This window comes from Homo sapiens, chromosome 18 (genome assembly GCF_000001405.40).
Source record: "Homo sapiens chromosome 18, GRCh38.p14 Primary Assembly".
Lineage (NCBI taxonomy): Eukaryota > Metazoa > Chordata > Mammalia > Primates > Hominidae > Homo > Homo sapiens.
In genome coordinates, this window is record NC_000018.10 from 23,131,725 (window position 1) to 23,148,413 (window position 16,689).

At 50.1% G+C, this 16,689-nt stretch overlaps 1 protein-coding gene across 3 annotated transcripts in view, besides 11 other annotated features; it reads left to right on the top strand.

Annotated features, from left to right (window-relative positions):
* Positions 1–295: a silencer, noted in NCBI's record as "tiled region #2996; K562 Repressive DNase unmatched - State 12:CtcfO". NCBI's record gives its function as "represses a minimal TATA promoter and a strong SV40 promoter by Sharpr-MPRA in K562 cells {active_cell/tissue: K562}" and the evidence as "EXISTENCE:reporter gene assay evidence [ECO:0000049][PMID:27701403]".
* Positions 2,560–2,649: a silencer, noted in NCBI's record as "silent region_9347". NCBI's record gives its function as "represses an Ori minimal core promoter by ATAC-STARR-seq in GM12878 lymphoblastoid cells {active_cell/tissue: GM12878}" and the evidence as "EXISTENCE:reporter gene assay evidence [ECO:0000049][PMID:35858748]".
* Positions 2,660–2,769: a silencer, noted in NCBI's record as "silent region_9348". NCBI's record gives its function as "represses an Ori minimal core promoter by ATAC-STARR-seq in GM12878 lymphoblastoid cells {active_cell/tissue: GM12878}" and the evidence as "EXISTENCE:reporter gene assay evidence [ECO:0000049][PMID:35858748]".
* Positions 2,840–16,689, top strand: part of CABLES1 (Cdk5 and Abl enzyme substrate 1) — a 125,907-nt gene continuing 112,057 nt past the window's right edge. Inside the window, exon 1 of one of the 3 annotated variants that reach the window (NR_023359.2) lies at positions 2,840–2,927. Coding sequence is in view for 1 of the 3 variants with exons in the window: in NM_001100619.3 (NP_001094089.1) it covers positions 4,039–4,883 (845 nt within the window). In the remaining 2 variants the exon portion in view is untranslated. Of the gene's footprint in view, positions 2,947–3,760; positions 4,884–16,689 lie in introns of those variants that run through there. The other 2 variants (NM_001256438.1, NM_001100619.3) reach the window with 2 other exon arrangements.
* Positions 2,960–3,109: an enhancer, noted in NCBI's record as "active region_13144". NCBI's record gives its function as "activates an Ori minimal core promoter by ATAC-STARR-seq in GM12878 lymphoblastoid cells {active_cell/tissue: GM12878}" and the evidence as "EXISTENCE:reporter gene assay evidence [ECO:0000049][PMID:35858748]".
* Positions 3,530–3,609: a silencer, noted in NCBI's record as "silent region_9349". NCBI's record gives its function as "represses an Ori minimal core promoter by ATAC-STARR-seq in GM12878 lymphoblastoid cells {active_cell/tissue: GM12878}" and the evidence as "EXISTENCE:reporter gene assay evidence [ECO:0000049][PMID:35858748]".
* Positions 3,730–3,939: a silencer, noted in NCBI's record as "silent region_9350". NCBI's record gives its function as "represses an Ori minimal core promoter by ATAC-STARR-seq in GM12878 lymphoblastoid cells {active_cell/tissue: GM12878}" and the evidence as "EXISTENCE:reporter gene assay evidence [ECO:0000049][PMID:35858748]".
* Positions 4,070–4,279: a silencer, noted in NCBI's record as "silent region_9351". NCBI's record gives its function as "represses an Ori minimal core promoter by ATAC-STARR-seq in GM12878 lymphoblastoid cells {active_cell/tissue: GM12878}" and the evidence as "EXISTENCE:reporter gene assay evidence [ECO:0000049][PMID:35858748]".
* Positions 4,380–4,629: a silencer, noted in NCBI's record as "silent region_9352". NCBI's record gives its function as "represses an Ori minimal core promoter by ATAC-STARR-seq in GM12878 lymphoblastoid cells {active_cell/tissue: GM12878}" and the evidence as "EXISTENCE:reporter gene assay evidence [ECO:0000049][PMID:35858748]".
* Positions 5,020–5,089: a silencer, noted in NCBI's record as "silent region_9353". NCBI's record gives its function as "represses an Ori minimal core promoter by ATAC-STARR-seq in GM12878 lymphoblastoid cells {active_cell/tissue: GM12878}" and the evidence as "EXISTENCE:reporter gene assay evidence [ECO:0000049][PMID:35858748]".
* Positions 5,190–5,279: a silencer, noted in NCBI's record as "silent region_9354". NCBI's record gives its function as "represses an Ori minimal core promoter by ATAC-STARR-seq in GM12878 lymphoblastoid cells {active_cell/tissue: GM12878}" and the evidence as "EXISTENCE:reporter gene assay evidence [ECO:0000049][PMID:35858748]".
* Positions 11,371–11,420: an enhancer, noted in NCBI's record as "active region_13145". NCBI's record gives its function as "activates an Ori minimal core promoter by ATAC-STARR-seq in GM12878 lymphoblastoid cells {active_cell/tissue: GM12878}" and the evidence as "EXISTENCE:reporter gene assay evidence [ECO:0000049][PMID:35858748]".

The following is a 16,689-nucleotide window of genomic DNA, read 5'->3' on the forward strand; positions in this document are numbered from 1 at the left end:
ATTTGTACCTAACAATAACCCACAGAGAAAACTAACTCAGAGAGGGTAAGTAGCTTGCTCTTGAAACCCAGATCCTCTTACTCCAAAGCTTGTATTATTCCGTAATAGTTGACCTCAAGTATGGATGTAAGAGTAAATCTGGACACTATTCTCTACCATTAAACATCTTCACCAGCAGAGGGCGCAAGAAGATGCATGGGTCTTCGAGTCAGGTTTGTATACTGGCCCACCCCAGCTAAGAGGTAGATGAGTCGGGGCAAATTATTTAATTCTTCTGAGCCTCGTCTGTAAAATATCGATGATAATGCTCTCACCAACACCACAGGGTGGTTATAAAGATTAGAAATACTCTGTGGCTGGCATACAGTAGGTGAACAATAAACCATATCTCAAGATCCCCAAAAGGGGGTCACAGAGGCAGTTTGGAGATTAGACATTGATTCTTGTTTGATGCTTTAATAAATATTTGAAATTCGTTTCATACTTCACACTTACAGTAGACAAAAGGTTATAGAAAATGAAGGTTATAAAAAATGCATACTGATGGAAACTTTTTGGTATTTTTTAATCGATGTATCATGGTTGTAAATATTTTGGGGGGATGATAGAAACATTTCAATACCCAGCAAAATTGTAAGAAAGCAGACTGAACAACCTTTAAGGATGAAAACCTTAAAAACACGAAATGCCATTTGCCCCAGCATCTATTTAACCTAAGAAAATAATATTGGGTGGTAGCAAGATTTAGAAAAACAAAGGAAGTCATCATTGCTTTATAAGAGCAAAAGTGGAAACCACAAATTTATTAAATGCACAGGTTTAAAAGTGTACAGTCTCTCCATCAAATTGAACACTATGTAGTCATTAAAATAAAAATTCTTCCATGCAGAAAAATATTCTACATGGAAAGATAATCACAACACAGCAGGCAAAAATCACAAGAGACAAAACAGCCTGGCTGGGCGTAGTGGCTCATGCCTGTAATCCCAGCACTTTGGGGGGCCGAGACGGGCGGATCACGAGGTCAGGAGATTGAGACCATCCTGGCTAACACGGTGAAACCCCGTCTCTACTAAAAATACAAAAAAATTGGCGGGGCGTGGTGGCGGGCGCCTGTAGTCCCAGCTACTCGGGGGGGGCTGAGGCAGGAGACTGGCATGAACCCGGGAGGCGGAGCTTGCAGCCTGGGTCAGACAGCAGGACTCCGTCTCAAAAAAACAAAACAAAACAAAACAAAACAAAACAGCCGATTTCACTTTTGTTTAAAAACACACCCAAGGCCAGGTATGACAGCTCATACGTGTAATCCCAGTGCTTTGGGAGGCCACCATGGGAGGACTGCTTGAGGCTGGAAGTTCCAGACCGGCCCGGGCAACATAGTGAGACTTCATCTCTACAAAAAAATTTTTTCTTTTTCTTTTCTTTTTTTTTTTTTTTTTTGAGATGGTGTCTTGCTCTGTCACCCAGGCTGGAGTGCAGTGGCACGATCTCGGCTCACTGCAACCTCCGCCTCCTGGGTTCAAGCCGTTCTCCTGCCCTCCTGCCTCAGCCTCCCCAGTAGCTGGGATTACAGGCACGTACCACCATGCCCAGCTAATTTTTGTATTTTTAGTAGAGACAGGGTTTCACCATGTTGGCCAGGCTGGTCTCGAACTCCTGACCTCGTGATCTGCCTGCCTCGGCCTCCTAAAGTGCTGGGATTACAGGCTTTAGCCACCGTGCCAGGCCAAATTTTTTTAAAAAAATTAGCCAGGTGTGGTGGGTGCCGGTAGTCCCAGCTATTCGCGAGGCTGAGGCAGAGAGAATCGCTTGAGCTCAGGAGTCTGCAGTGAGCTATGATCACACCAGTGCACTCCAGCCTGGGTGACAGGCTAAAAGAATATATATACATATCTCTCTATAAAATATATGAAAATACAAAACAGAAATCAAAATTTAAGTTTTACGTTATTTCCACAGAAGATATTGTTAGTGATACCCCCTTTTTTTTTGCTCCTCTTTGCTTATCTTATGTTCTGAAATTAACATTTATCATTTTTGAATGATGGAAAATATATTTTACAGGAGCACCGTTGGAGTCTTTCACTTAACACTGCCTCCCAACCAGGCCAGTGGTCATGTAAATTAAGTCAATTGTCATAAAAGGGCTTGGAAGTTTCAAGGTAGTTAGCCAAAATAATTAAAATCCTGGTGAAATTTCACAGAGCTGGCCATTGAGCTTTGACTCCACTGACATGAGGCTGCTGTAAACAGACACCAGGCTCCATGTTTTCAAAAGGCCTAAAAACAGCACAAAATAAAATATAACAACGATTGTTCATGTAAAGGGCCACGTGCCATCTCTGTCCTGAGCAAATGTAACCTGAAACCCTCTCTGTCTGGCACTCCGGGTTGGCGGCACCTCTCTGGACGGTGTATTTGCTCTCCATTACTCAATTTACTTTCCTGAACTTGAAATGGAGTGGAATTTCAATGTAGAGTTACCCATTAGCTCCAGGGCTAAATTTAAACCTTTAATTAAATTAATCCGTTGATCTGAAACACATTGCTTCTCCCTCAAAAGTGCAGCAGGTTTCTTAGGTGTCACAGAGCTTAATTCAGTGTGGCAATTGTTCCTTACTGCATTTGTTAAGTTGCCCATACCGCCTGGGGAAACCCGCACACGTTTTCAGATCCCTCCAGGTGAACTCCTCCACCCTGTCCCCGCCCCCGCCCCCACCCCCAACCAAAACAAGCATTCGTTGTGGGTGGGGACTGCGACTCCTCCCAGATTCAGAGCTACTGCTCTGGGAGGGCCGTCAGGAACCCGTATTTATAGAAGACATGGTAGGTGCCAAACGTGCTTATGAGATAAACGACAGGGTAACTGTCCACATTGGTCCCAGTTTATGAGGGAGAAGAGATCATAATCTACAAAAATTTGCAAGGTGACCAGGGGAAAAGAGTGTAAGGTCATTTTAGCCCACCTGGGTCTTCACAGAAAATGGAGCACATTTCAGAGCCAAAGTAAAAAATTTGCGTTGTCCTTTGCTAAGAGAGAGATGAAAAGTGACAATACCATGGATTGGGGATGCGTGAGTTCGTTGGCCACATGTAAGATGTTCGTGCTTCTGGGCTCTTATGCATCCCAAGGCGTGCATTTATCCCGGGGGCTGCATCCTTGGCCTGGGAATGAATAGACCCAACTGCAATGGTTGTTAGCGATAGCTTTACGGTGGGACAGTCTCCATAGGGGCTGTGGACTTACCCGTGTTATTATGAAAAGGATCTATTTACTTCTCGGGGACCAACGGCCTTGCGGGGTCCAAGTAACTCGCTCGCAGTCCAAAACTCTGCAACGCTCCACATAACCGTCCTGTAGACCCACAACTCTCCCAGGAGCACAGCCCCAGGACCTAACCCACCGGGTTCTGCTCGCTCACCCAATTCCCAGTGCGAGCGCGCGGGGGAAACGTGCTCGCCTCCCGCACCTGGCTTCCGCGGCCCCGGGAGTCGCCAACTCTCCCAGCAGGCAGCTCCGACAACCCGGACAGCCGGGCCGATCCCCCGCCCCACCACCCGCTCGGCTCTCGCGTCCTCCTCTTCCTCCTCCCGTGGCCCCTTGCCTCCCGCCGTCTGCCTCTGCGGCCGCCGCCTGCGGCTTTGTTTTCCTCCCAGGTCGCATTCCCCACACGTGATTCCGTGTTATTGCAAAGAGGGCTTTGGAGCGCGAGCGCGGGGCGCGCGCACCTATAAATACGGACACCCGGCCCCGGAGCCCGCGAGCCAGCGGCCAGGCGACCGGCGGGCGGCCAGCCAGCGAGCCGAACTAGCCGAGCTAGGTAGCGAGGCGTGCGCGTGGGCCGGGGCGGCGGCGCCCCCATCCCCAGCACCGAGGGGCGAGCATGGCCCGCCCGCGGGGGGGCTGGACCGCCGCGCACGCCGCCCGATCCCCGCGCCCTACCCAGCCCGGGTCGCCGCCGCTCGCGCCCGCCGCTTAGCGCTCGGGCGCCGCTCGCTTCTCCGGGCATCGCGGAAATCCCGCCGCAGACGGACACAATGGCGGCGGCGGCGGCGGCCGCCACCACGGCCGCCTGCAGCAGCGGCAGCGCCGGCACCGACGCCGCGGGCGCCAGCGGATTGCAGCAGCCGCCGCCGCAGCCCCAGCCTCAGCCCGCGGCCGCCGCGCCGGCCCAGCCGCCGCCCGAACCCCCCCGGAAGCCGCGCATGGACCCGCGGCGCCGCCAGGCTGCCCTCTCCTTCCTCACCAACATCTCGCTGGACGGCCGGCTGCCGCCGCAGGACGCGGAGTGGGGCGGTGGCGAGGAGGGCGGCGCGGCCAAGCCGGGCGCCGGCGGCGCCTGCGGCGCGAGGACTCGGTTCAGCTTGCTCGCCGCTGCCGAGCGGGGCGGCTGCATCGCGCTCGCCGCGCCGGGCACGCCGGCTGCGGGGTTAGCCGCTGGGTCCGGCCCCTGCCTCCCACAGCCCTCGTCGCTGCCGCCCTTGATTCCTGGCGGCCATGCGACCGTGTCCGGCCCCGGGGTGGCGCGGGGGTTCGCGAGTCCCCTGGGCGCCGGCCGGGCGTCGGGGGAGCAGTGGCAGCCGCCCCGGCCGGCGCCTCTCGCCGCCTGTGCCCAACTGCAGCTGCTCGACGGGTCCGGGGCCGCCGGGCAGGAGGAGTTGGAGGAGGACGATGCCTTTATCAGCGTGCAGGTGCCGGCGGCCGCCTTTTTGGGCTCCGGGACCCCCGGGAGTGGGAGCGGCAGTCGGGGACGCCTCAACTCGTTCACTCAGGGAATCCTGCCCATCGCCTTCTCCAGGCCGACTTCGCAGAACTACTGCTCCCTGGAGCAGCCAGGCCAGGGCGGCAGCACCAGCGCCTTCGAGCAGCTGCAGAGGTCCCGGTGAGTATCCGGGATGCGACGCGCACCCAACCCTGCGTCCCGCCCGGCGCTCCCAGCCTCCCCGCGGTCTCTGGGCTACGGGACACGGGTTGCTCCCATTTTCCCGCGCCCTGCCGGATCCTGTGCTCCGGGCCCGAATCCCAAACCACGAGGGCACCCAAAAGAGGGGGCGTCCCCAGGGAGTGCGGGGTTACACGTGTTTGCACGAGCCCAGCATTCGCAGAGGAGCACCGCGCTTGTGCAGTGGGTCGGGAATTGGGAGTTGCAGGAGCCCAGTAGAAAGCGGCGTCCGAGCCTCCCCACACGAGATCACAAACTTCCTGAAACCCGGTCCAGACCCGGAGGCGCACTCTTCCCCGCGTGGGGCGAGACTCGGCCGGGCGCAGAGTGGAGCAGTGCAGGCCGGCAGCTGAGCGGCGCGTGTGAGCCTGAACTTGTAGCAGACACGCGTGACCCTCCGGAGAAGTTCTTGCCTGCGCTCCAAGTCTTCTTGCGGCCCGGGGAAACTTGGCTTTTTCCATTTGCTTTCCTGAGCAATGGAAAGTCCTTCTTACATTGCCTCCAACTAGGCCTAGGGGGGTGGGGAACAAAGAGGAAATAGGGCTTGAGGGATTTTTTTCCTATTCCAAGATGAATTTGCTTGAGTTCGTTAAACGCTTGTTTTACTTGTTTGTTAGCTGAAGTTATCTGGCGGCATTAGGCGTCTTAGCAAAAACATGAAACGCTGGACGTTTGCTTATTGTTCAGGAAATAGAGTTTGTCACCATGTATTATTCTAAGGGGCAGTCGGAGGTTGGGACTGTGTGAACTGAAGCTTGCAAAAGAAGTAGGCGAGTAGGCGGGAACAGGTGGGGAAATGCAGATCCGTTCCTAGGGAGTGCCCTCCCTTGTTGGTTAATAAGGCCTCTTGTGAAGTTAGCAATAGCATAGACCCTACCTTGACAAAGTTGTTTTAACTTCTTGGGGCCTCAGTTATCCCTTCTGGGAAAGAATGACTTTCTCTGCTAGAATTTCTCTCTCCTATCATGCTTACCTGAAAGCTTGATCTGGCCCAAGTAAGAAGGTGCCTATGGGAAAACTTAACTTCCTCCCGCAATGGACAAATGGGGGAAGAACAGGCCCGCCTCATCCACAAGTTTGCCCCTAGTGTACTTCTTCCGAAGTGGGTGAAATCATGAGGGTGCTAGTTATGTAGCCTCGCTGTTTGAGTGCGCATGGCCCGCAAGCCAGGGGTGTGGAACCGGGGAAGCAGCCTCATAAGTGCATGGATGAATTAGCGACACTGGGCACAGGTGACAGCCCTACTCCAGTATTTCTTGTCAGAGCATGCATCTCCCCCGCAGCAGGTGAGGGCAGGGAGGTGGTATCCCTTGTTTCTGGGTGAGTCCTGCAAACTCAGCGTTTCTGGGCAGCTCAGTATTACCGCTTGACATCACACACTGGCTCATGGTGACTCCAGACTTGCAGCCTAAGCCCAGCAGTCAAGAGGGTTATGACAGGAATTGTAATAAACATACGTGTTATTCTAAGCCAGTGTGCAAAGCTGGCTTGTGTCTCCTGATGGACAGATGTGTCCTCCATGCTAAAGGCAGCTGGAGATCAGATTACCTCGCACGCTTTCTCCAAGAAACTCATTTCAGGGGATATGGAAGATCTTGTGTGTTCGCATTTCTGAACCAAAGAATATCCAGAACGCCACCTCCAATCCTATAAATATGAATCTTTTAGGCGTTTTATTGATCCTTTTCACCTCGGCACACACATTAAGATGAATTAATCACTGGAAGATGCTTCTTTACCTGACAGTCACTTTCATCCTATTTCTGAATAATCCGTATCTGGCAACCTGATAGGCTTTTATAAAATTACAGCTGTGAACAGAAACAGCTTAAATTTTGGGTACAAAGGGGAAAAATAGGTTACACTGATTTAAGAAAGGCGGAAAGGCTAGCTTAGCTGTGGAGAGGCTGCAGACTTGAAATATCCCAGGATGCTTTGTTGCCAACACCACGCCGCTTGTCTTATCACTAGAGTACTTGCACCTGCCTAGTTGAAGTGTGCTGAGAGCACAGACTCACTTGAATAAGGCCCGAGGCCAGCTTTTCTGGTTTCCATTTGTGGAAACCTTTCCTGGTGTGCCTCCCTGCTAGCCTGTGTGTTTCCATGTACATGTTACCTCACGGATGGTCTCCTGGGATGTTTTCATATCAAATTGTATTTTCCTTGGATTCATTTCTTGCCATTAGTGGAATTCCATAGCACCTTGCTGCTCCAGAATGTGGGCTTTGCACCTTCAGCTTCACTGGGAGCAGTTAGAAATGCAGACTCTTCCCTACTCCAGACTACGTGAGTCCAGATCTGCAGTTTAACGAGATCCTCAGGTGATTTGTATACAAATTAAATTTCGACAAGTGTTGCCACAGTGTATCTGAAATCTGCCCTTTAAAAAAAATGAATTTGAGGTTTTATATATTGGGTTTGTTTTGGGTATATAAAAATTAGAATGTCGGGCCGGGTGTGGTGGTGGCTCACGGCTATAATCCCAGCACTTTGGGAGGCCGAGGCAGGTGGATCACCTGAGGTCAGGAGTTCAAGACCAGCCTGGCCAACATGGTGAAACCCCATCTCTACTAAAAATACAAAAAATTAGCTGGGTGTATTGTTGTGCCCCTGTAATCCCAGCTACTCGGGAGGCTGAGGCAGGAGAATTGCTTGAACCCAGGAGGCGGAGGTTGCAGTGAGCCAAGATTGTGCTATTGCACTCCAGCCTGGGCAACAAGAGTGAAACTCCATCTCAAAAAAAAAAAAAAAAAAAAATTAGAATGTCTCCCAATCTGCAATCTTGAAACCCTTTCTTCTTGGTTACTTTCATTGGAACACTTGTAAAACCAATCACAAATAATTGCTTGGACTTCCAAACTTCACAACACACAGGGAGGAAAATTCTGTGCACAAGCCTTGGCACAAGGTGCACAGTAAATGCCTGTGGAGGCAATGATTACACCACCTCTGTTCACTGGACTGGATTCTTGACATCTATTGTATTTAGCCCTCACAGCCACCCTGAGTATAGATTCTTTCACAGGTGAGGAGAACATAGGCTCAGAGAGGTTGAGTAATTTCTCCCAGCTACTGAGAGGCACATATGATAATCTAACTTAGTTGGGCCAGGATAGGAACCTGGATCATTGATGTCCAAGCTCTGCCACTCTACCATGTCACTATGCCTTGCACACAATAGGCCCATAGATAATTTTTGAGCTGTTGGCTGTAAATGTTTGTGTATTATACAACTGTCCCGTCGTACTGGTATAATTCAACACCCCATTTGTTATCCTCCCAAATTTAGCCTCTTCGTTTGCATCCCCTAGCTTTGCTATTTCACCATCTCTATTCTGTTGGGGTGTCCAGGGAACCCAGGATGGTGGGCCTGGGTTCCTCCCCGCCTCACAGACGGGACTCCAGCACTGGGAAGCCAACAGGCTGGGTTTGCTGTCAGGTGCAGTGTCAGAGGTGGGAAACCAAGAAGATGCCTCTTAGCTTCATGCCTATCGTGTTTCTCTGCTCTGGCGGTGAATGGTGCATCTGGAAGGTGTTAATAGGTGAAAGGGAGTGTGAATTTATAAGGCCTACATTAAGGCTTCCATTCACTTCAAAAACTTCCTTGCAACCAGCAGTTGGCCCCAGCCCTGTGTTACTCTACTTCCCGGAGATTCTGGCTAGCGGACAGCTCCCCAGGAGGACATGAAGTTGAGCCCAGGTGAACCACTGTGCTGATGGGAGGGGTGCATGGTGACCAGTGTACTATTTTTCTTTCTTTCGTTTTCTTTCTTTTTTTTTTTTTTTTGAGATGGAGTCTTGCTCTGTCACCTAGGCTGGAGTGCAGTGGCGCCATCGCGGCTCACGGCAACCTCTGCCTCCTGGGTTCAAGCAATTCTGATGTCTCAGCCTCCCGAGTAACTGGGACTACAGGCGTGCGCCACCACGCCTGGCTGATTTTGGTATTTTTTAGTAGAGATGAGGGTTCGCCATGTTGGCCAGGCTGGTCTCGAACTCCTGACCTCAGGTGATCCACCTACCTCGGCCTCCCAAAGTGCTGGGATTGTAGGTGTGAGCCACCGCGCCCCACCCAGGGTACTATTAAAAAATAGCATGAGGGTTTTGCCTCTGAGAACACTTGGGTTAGCATCATGCCTTGTGGGTTTGTGGTACGGAAGAGCCTTAAGTCCTGTGTTCAGATGCTGGTGCCACTGTGACAGCCGTTTGACCCCGGTGGGTTAATCAGCCTTCTGGGTCTGTTTCCTCCTGAGAACCTTGGCTTGTGTCTCAGGCCCTTTCTAGTGTAAAATGCACTTACATTTATAATCGAGGTCTGAATGTGGGCTTGTGCTAAATGCTTCAGATTTGGGCTTCTCAAATGTAAATGCATTTAGAGTCACTTAATCTCTTAAAAGCAGATTCTGTATTTCTAACCAGTTCCCTGGAATGCAGAGTGGCCACCCTTTGAGGAGGGAGGCTTTACCCACTATGATGATTTGTTCCTGTTGTCAGGCCAAGGAACCCAGGGCTCAGGAGATGTTAAGTGGCCTGCCCAAGGCCAGTTGGCAATTAATAGCAGAGCTCAGGCTCACTATTGCTCAGCTGACTTAGAGCTTCTGCCTGCCCCTCCCGCTGCATTGCCCCTCTTTGGAGGAAATCCAGGCTTGTGCTGTAATTGTAATCTATGTCTTGACTGAAAAGAAAAATGTGAGCCCACCACAGATCAAGAATCAGGGTAAGAAAGGGGAGATGGATGCTGTTTCCTAGCTTTTTCACCACCCGCTTTGTGACATCAGGCAAGTCGCCAGTCTGTGTGTGTGTGCCCCAGCTGTGAGCCACCTGACCCCTCAGGATTTCAGAAGTCTGTAAAGAACTTTGATCTCAGCAGTAAGCAAACACAAGTTATTGCTGAGCCATTTTTCCAGCAACCATGGGTTTTGGAGGTCGGAGTTGTAGCCCCAGGCCAGGCGGGGGCCTGTGGATGGTGGGCGCAGTCTGAGGCTTCCCTGCTGCCCTTGTTGCAGTCACAAAGCCTGCAATGTGGGCGAGCTCAGGAGAAATACATAGGAAGCCTGCTCACTGCTGGCAAGTGCCTGGGGAGGCCAGTGAGCTCAAGGGTGAGCTTTTGCTCTCTGAATGGGTGGGGAAGCCATCACATGGCTCTGCGCCACGTGCTCAGTAGCTTTCCCAGGAAGCGCCGATGCCTGGACTTTTTTTCTCTCTTCAGAAAGATAGCGGTGAGGTGGCAGAGAGCCAAGGGCAGGTTTTCTGGAGGGTAGAATAGGAGGCAGTGCAGTTGAGCCTGTGCTGTGACCTGATGTGGCATAAGAGAGGTCAAAGCAGGACTTTGAGACTCCTGGGTTCTGGGTCTTAGTTTCCTTATGGAACTCAGCGGTTGGGACAGATGAGCCTGCCACCCCTTCTGGGTCCACCATTCCACGTGTCTCGGTCCTGTGGCCTGCTGCAGGGTCTGGGGGCATGTTTAGCCTGGGGACGTGTGGATAATCCAACCTCAGAATCAGGTACAAAGTAGCATTAAGTTTGTTCCATGTGGCTCTGATGGGCAGAACATGTAACTAATGAAGGAATAAATGGATGAATGAATAGGGCTGCCCCAGAGTAAGGGAGAACTTTAAAAACTACCTTCAGCTGTGTTCCTTCAGGCACGGGCAATATCGCAGCTGGACTGACAATGTTAGGAGGCCATCCAAGCAGGAAGCCACTGCCTGGGGAGGCAGTCAGTCCCCCAGATGAAACTACCCTCACACCAAGGACATGATCTGTAGTAACCTCTATTGCTAAAGGGCCTTCAGGTTTACAAAGTACTGTTGTACATGTTGATATCAGACCCCAGACACCACAGAGGGGCAGGAGTCCAAGGTCACAGAGTGACCAGGGGGTGACTTAGGTTGCAGTGTTATCTGTCAGTTATGTAGAAAAGGAAATCTTGGTATTGAGACTTAATGCCTTGTATCACTTATTCATTCAACAAACATTGAACACAATGAGTATCAATCATGAGTCACCGCTGTCCTACTCATGGGAGATGGAGGCATAAAACATGGTCCCTGTCTGTGCTGGGTGACATAAGTAAACGGGCAAGTTGGTAGAGTGGTGAGTGAGTGGTTAGAGGTGAGCTTGTTGTTTGAACTCCCCCCACCTGGGGAGGGGTGCAGGGACGTTTCACACCCTTCCCTGTGGCAGCTGGCACAGGGCCTTGGACACGGTATTTTTATTTAACAAATATGTGGCAGGCATTATTCTAAGCACTTTGATGGGACTGAGTTCATACCTAGAAACACCCTGAGACAGTACTACCTTCACCTCCATTTGGAAGCACAGAGAAGTTAAGTAACTTGTCTGGGGTCCTGTGCTCTGACCCACCTCCCTCTGCTGTGCTACAATTTACAGGTCAGGCTCATGCATGCTTGTTAAATAGGCTTCAGCTGAACTGAGCAGAAGTTGACCTAAATGGCCTCAAGGGTTCCCGATCACTTGTGATTTCCTTGTTTCAGTTTCCACTTTTCTGTCATCTAGGGAAGACCTCTGTGCATTTGGGCCCAGAGGACAGGCCAGGTTTTAAATAGGGATTCCTGTGACTCTGGCAATTAACTCCCGCCCTCTGCCTGCCTGTGCTTCCTCTCTTCTTGGCCACAGCTGAATCCCTGACACCTTTATTGCCTCTCTGACTCACCTGGTACATTACACATCTTGTGTTATATAGAGCATGGTACAATTAGCAACAGGAACCTGGCCTCCTAAAGTTTAAAGCTCTGCTGGGTCCTCGTCTGTGAAATGGGAATGATACTACCACCTCCGCCCTGGGCGGGTTTCCCGCTGTATCTTCTCAGCATCACCCTTTCCCCAACTGCCCCTCTGGCTGTTTATAAATAATACTTTCTTGGAAAAACCACACCCACTCGTGCAAGTCTTGCCTTTGGCTGCCTTTGTGCTACAAGGACAGAATCGAGTAGTTGCGACAGAGACCACATGGCCTATTCCCTGGCTTGTCACAGAGTGGTTGTGCTTCCCCCACCCTAGCCCAGTGCTCTGTGCCCAGGAAGTGTGCAGGTCCCCTTGGCCCCTTCCTGCCTGCCTGCACCCTCCTTGCCTTGTTTCACAGCCTGGATAATGTGGTGGCCCGAGGGGCTCCTGGCTTCTGTTTGGACCCCTGTCAATCCCTCCCCCCCTGGGCTGTCAGAGGGACCCTTCTGAAACCCACATCTGATCCTGCCAGTCTTAAATTCCTGGTATTTCAGGCGAGGCAGCTGTTGGCTTGGGTCCTGGTTGCCACTGCAACCTCCCCCGCTCCCACACACCCTCTGAGGCCTGTTGCTGCCATACTGTGTTGTCTTTACAGAGGGCACCCACGCTGCTCCGTGCCCCAGGCTCTGGCACTCTCAGGCTTCTCCTGGGGCAAGGCCTCCCACAAGAGGCCCCTTCCTTCCAGCTCCGTCAGCCACAGAGCCAGCCGCTGCTCTCCCCATGCTCGTACACGCTCCTGGCTGGGCCTCTTCCTTCCCTGTGGATCTGTGCTTCAGCCCTGGTCTGACTGGAGGGCCCCTCCTCCGTGGTCTGGTCAGAGCTTGATGGATTGCCCTGGGGCCAGCTTTTGGTGGAACAGACCACATCTCTCCTCCATAGGGAACACAAATGAAACTCCAATTCCCTAACAGTAAGAGGAGGAAAATTTGATTCTGTTCCCCCACCCCACAACGTTCTAGGTCTTTGTTTTCATCCAGCAGTTGCTCCTGACTCTTAATTTGCTAAAACAATCTGTCATGGGGCTAAGGTGAGACAGATTGTGGAGGCTGCACCACCCAGCCCACCCTACCTGAGCCTGTCTCTCCCACCCTCAGGAGGGAGGTGACTTGTATGGAGTTCTGAGTACCTCTTGTGTGCCACATCCTTCACGTATGTTGTTTTATTTGCGTGGCAGTCTGTGAAACAGGTTGCCTACTTTAGAGCTGAGAAGACTGAGGCTGGATGGTTAAGGAAATTTGTCTAAGGCCACATAGCTGGAATCTAGAGCTAGAATTGAACTTTAGTTTTCCTGGCTTCTAAGCTGGGTTTCTTGCAGACCCTGTAGTGTCTTGGAGCTGACTCCTACCCACTTATTGGAGACGACTGAGGAATCTGAGGTGGTTGCTGAAATCGGTTGTGGTGGGAATATTTACACCACAGGAATCGGCCAATGCTGTAAGTCAAGGTTTTTCTTTTTCCCCTTCCAGAGAGTTGGTTATCAGCATGTGCACCTAAGGCTTTACCACACATCCTTTTTTTTTTTCTTTCTTTTTTTTTTTCTTTGAGACGGAGCCTCACTCTGTTGCCCAGGCTGGAGTACAGTGGCGCAATCTCGGCTCACTGCAACCTCCGCCTCCTGGGTTCAAGCAATTCTCCTGCCTCAGCCTCCCAAGTAGCTGGGATTACAGGTGCCTGCCACCATGCCCAGCTAATTTTTTGTATTTTTAGTAGAGACGGGGTTTCGCCATGTTGGGCAGGCTGGTCTCAAACTCCTGAACTCAGATGATCTGCCTGCTTTGGCCTTCCAAAGTGCTGGGATTACAGGCATGAGCCACCGTGCCTGGCCTAATTTTTGTATTTTTAGTAGAGATGAGGTTTCATCATGTTAGCCAGGCTGGGCTCGATCTCTTGACCTCGTGATCTGCCTGTCTTGACCTTGTGATCCACCCGTCTCGGCCTCCCAAAGTGCTGGGATTACAGGTGTGAGCCACTGTGCCTGGCTCACACATCCTTTTTGTCCTGTTCTCCTCTTTGGGGGCTGTGCAAAATGTCGCTATCAAAGGAAGCATGTTGAAAACCAGAAGTTTTTATAAGAATCTGCTGCTTAACATAATGATGTAAATTTTCCCCAGGGTCACCATTATCCATTTTTTCCACTTTAGAAAAATATCTGTCCCCCTCAAGTTTCAGCCTGTGTACCATTTAAACACCAAACTTTTCACAGATTCTGGGGCTCAGACCACTTAGTATTACATACGGGAATCATGAAATCATTAGCTATTACCCTGTTTTACCAACTGTGTAATGTTGTATTTTTATGTTTGTTTGATTTTGAAAAGCCTCTAAGAACGTATAATTAATTGGAGTTTGCTAGTTTGTCTTTTCCTCTTTGTTTTAGTAGTTTGGATGGCTACGCACTAGATCATATTTAATGAGGTTATCATTCATTGTGGTTTGGGGCTTATTACTGCACATTTGGTCACAGACAAGAGCTTGTAAAGCAGAACGTGCAAATACCAGGGGCTTATGACTTTAGAATATTGTAATGATATGTGTGTGCAAGAGGGACCCAATCTTGTCCCTGGTTTAAAGCACAGGGTATATGTAAATCTAAGTTAGGTTTTACGATAAACAGAAGAAAAACCATTCAACCAGATACTAGTAAAATATTCAAAAATGCCAAAAATGTTTATGTGCCTAGCACGTTGATTTTTATTTTAAAGCACTTTACTCATTGACCAAATTATTTATAAAGCAAAATGTCTACTTCGATAGTTTTAAGAAGGGCTGGGTGGCGGGGTAGAGGAACAAATGTAAGGAGCTGGAAGATATTCAAAGTCTAAAGTTTTTTGCTTAAGGACAAAAACTGGCATGTTAGGGGGACAAACGGTTGATGTGATGTTGAATGGTAGTTCTTTTTTTTTTCTTTTGGAGATGGAGTCTTGCTCTGTCGCCCAGGCTGGAGTGCAATGCCATGATCTTGGCTCACTGCAACCTCTGCCTCCCGGGTTCAAGCGATTGGCCAGGCTTGTCTCGAACTCCTGACTTCAAGTGATCAGCCTGCCTCAGCCTCCCAAAGTGCTAGGATTACAGGCGTGAGCTACCCTGCCCAGCCTGAATGGTAGTTCTTGATGAATTATTTTATTTATTGAGTTGAATAAAGTTTGTTTTTGGAGGGTGAGTAGTGAAGAAGGAAGATGAGATTACAAATGTCTCAATTGTAGGATTCCATTTATCCATCACAAAACGATTGATAGTATTATAAGTTCTGTTTATTTGTTTGATGCTTAACAGCTTAAGAAGTACTTTTTTAAAAATCAAGTAATTTCAGAAAGGCAATGTGGTAGCTGTTTTATGGATTTGAAAGTCACTATGTGGTAGAGCTAGAGTTTTAACATTTACATTTTCTAAGTTGAGAGTTTTCAAAACAAAAACTCTATCGTAGCTGTACCATTTTAAGAAAAACGTAAGAAAGAATCAACTAAGTACTGTAGAATTTTATTCTCCTTCCAGTCTCAAATCTTCTACTTGTGAGTTCGTTAACCAAAATGCTAGGGCCTCATCTGTTTAAGACCTATGGGCTGGAGTCAGTCAAGGTCAGTATGTTAAAGTACAAAGAAATATTGTGCTATAGTTTTGGCAAGCCAGCGCCTTCTCATCAAGCGAGCATGCTGATTTTCACGTGATAACCTCGGGCAGGCCAATAGAACCCTGATTTGGGTCCAGAGTCATGGAAAATTTTCCCAATAACAACAGCTCTCTCCAGATAATATTAATAGCTTGGTATCAGTTCCTCCCGCAGGGAGTAAGCTCCTTCTTCTTCCTGCACCCCTGCCGCTAGGCCTCTGTCTCAGCAAAATGGGTGAGCAGAAGAGTGGAAAGACCAGCTTTGGAGCTCCATAGCTCTGCCGCTTAACGGCACCTTTTGGACAACACGCTTAACCACTCTGAACCTCACGTTCTCACCTGTAGTATGGGGATAAGGACTCCAGTACTTTTGGGGTGTTGCAAATATTAAAATAAGAATGCAGAATGCAACACTAAACACCTAGCAAAGGTTTGGCCCTTAGTGATTGAGCAGGAAAATTGTAGCTGTTATTTCCATTCACAATTGCACTGCACCTTACACTGTCCAAGAAGCCGTTGAGAAATTTGACAAGGTCTGCTCTGATCGTGAGGAGCTGATCCTGAACAGCTACCTTGCTGCATTGTTTTAGTTTCATCAGTAGTAGTGAAATCAGAGCAGCAGAGAGAAACAGTACCCCTCTGTTTGGTGCTGCATTTTGCCCCTGCTTACGCTGGAATCGTGACAATTTCTATTGCCAAAATAAAGCAAGGTAGGGGGAATTCACATGTTCATCCTTGTACCTTTAGAGCAATGAGGCTGTGAGGTGAAGAGCAACAACCGGTTTTGCCCACACCCAGGCCCAGGAAGACGCTGCCCTACTTGGAGGGTCCCGCAGCCCACGTGGGGCACATGCTGGGGGAGGGCTACCTCCAGAGACAATTTGAGAAGACCCAACTTTTGTCACTCGTTATCAGAGCTATAGCCCTCATTCCATGGTCTGCGTGCTGCCTGCTTGGCCTCCTTTTTTTTTTTTTTTTTTTTTTTTTTTTGAGACGGAGTCTCGCTTTGTTGCCCAGGCTGGAGTGCAGCGGCGTGATCTCGGCTTACTGCAGGCTCCGCCTCCTGGATTCACGCCATTCTGCTGCCTCAGCCTCCCGAGTAGCTGGGACTACAGGCGCCCGCCACCATGCCCGGCTAATTTTTTGTATGTTTAGTAGAGACAGGTTTTCACCATGATAGCCAGGGTGGTCTCGATCTCCTGATCTCATGATCCACCCGCCTCAGCCTCCCAAAGTGCTGGGATTACAGGTGTGAGCCACCACGTCTGGCCCGCTTGGCCCCCATTTCTAAGCAGGATACCCTCTCCCGTGTGAGGGCTCCTCAGGGTCTGTGTGGCCATGATGTGGAGTTGAGTTGGGTGCTACGTGGGTGCCTTGGCCTCACCTTTCAGCCCCG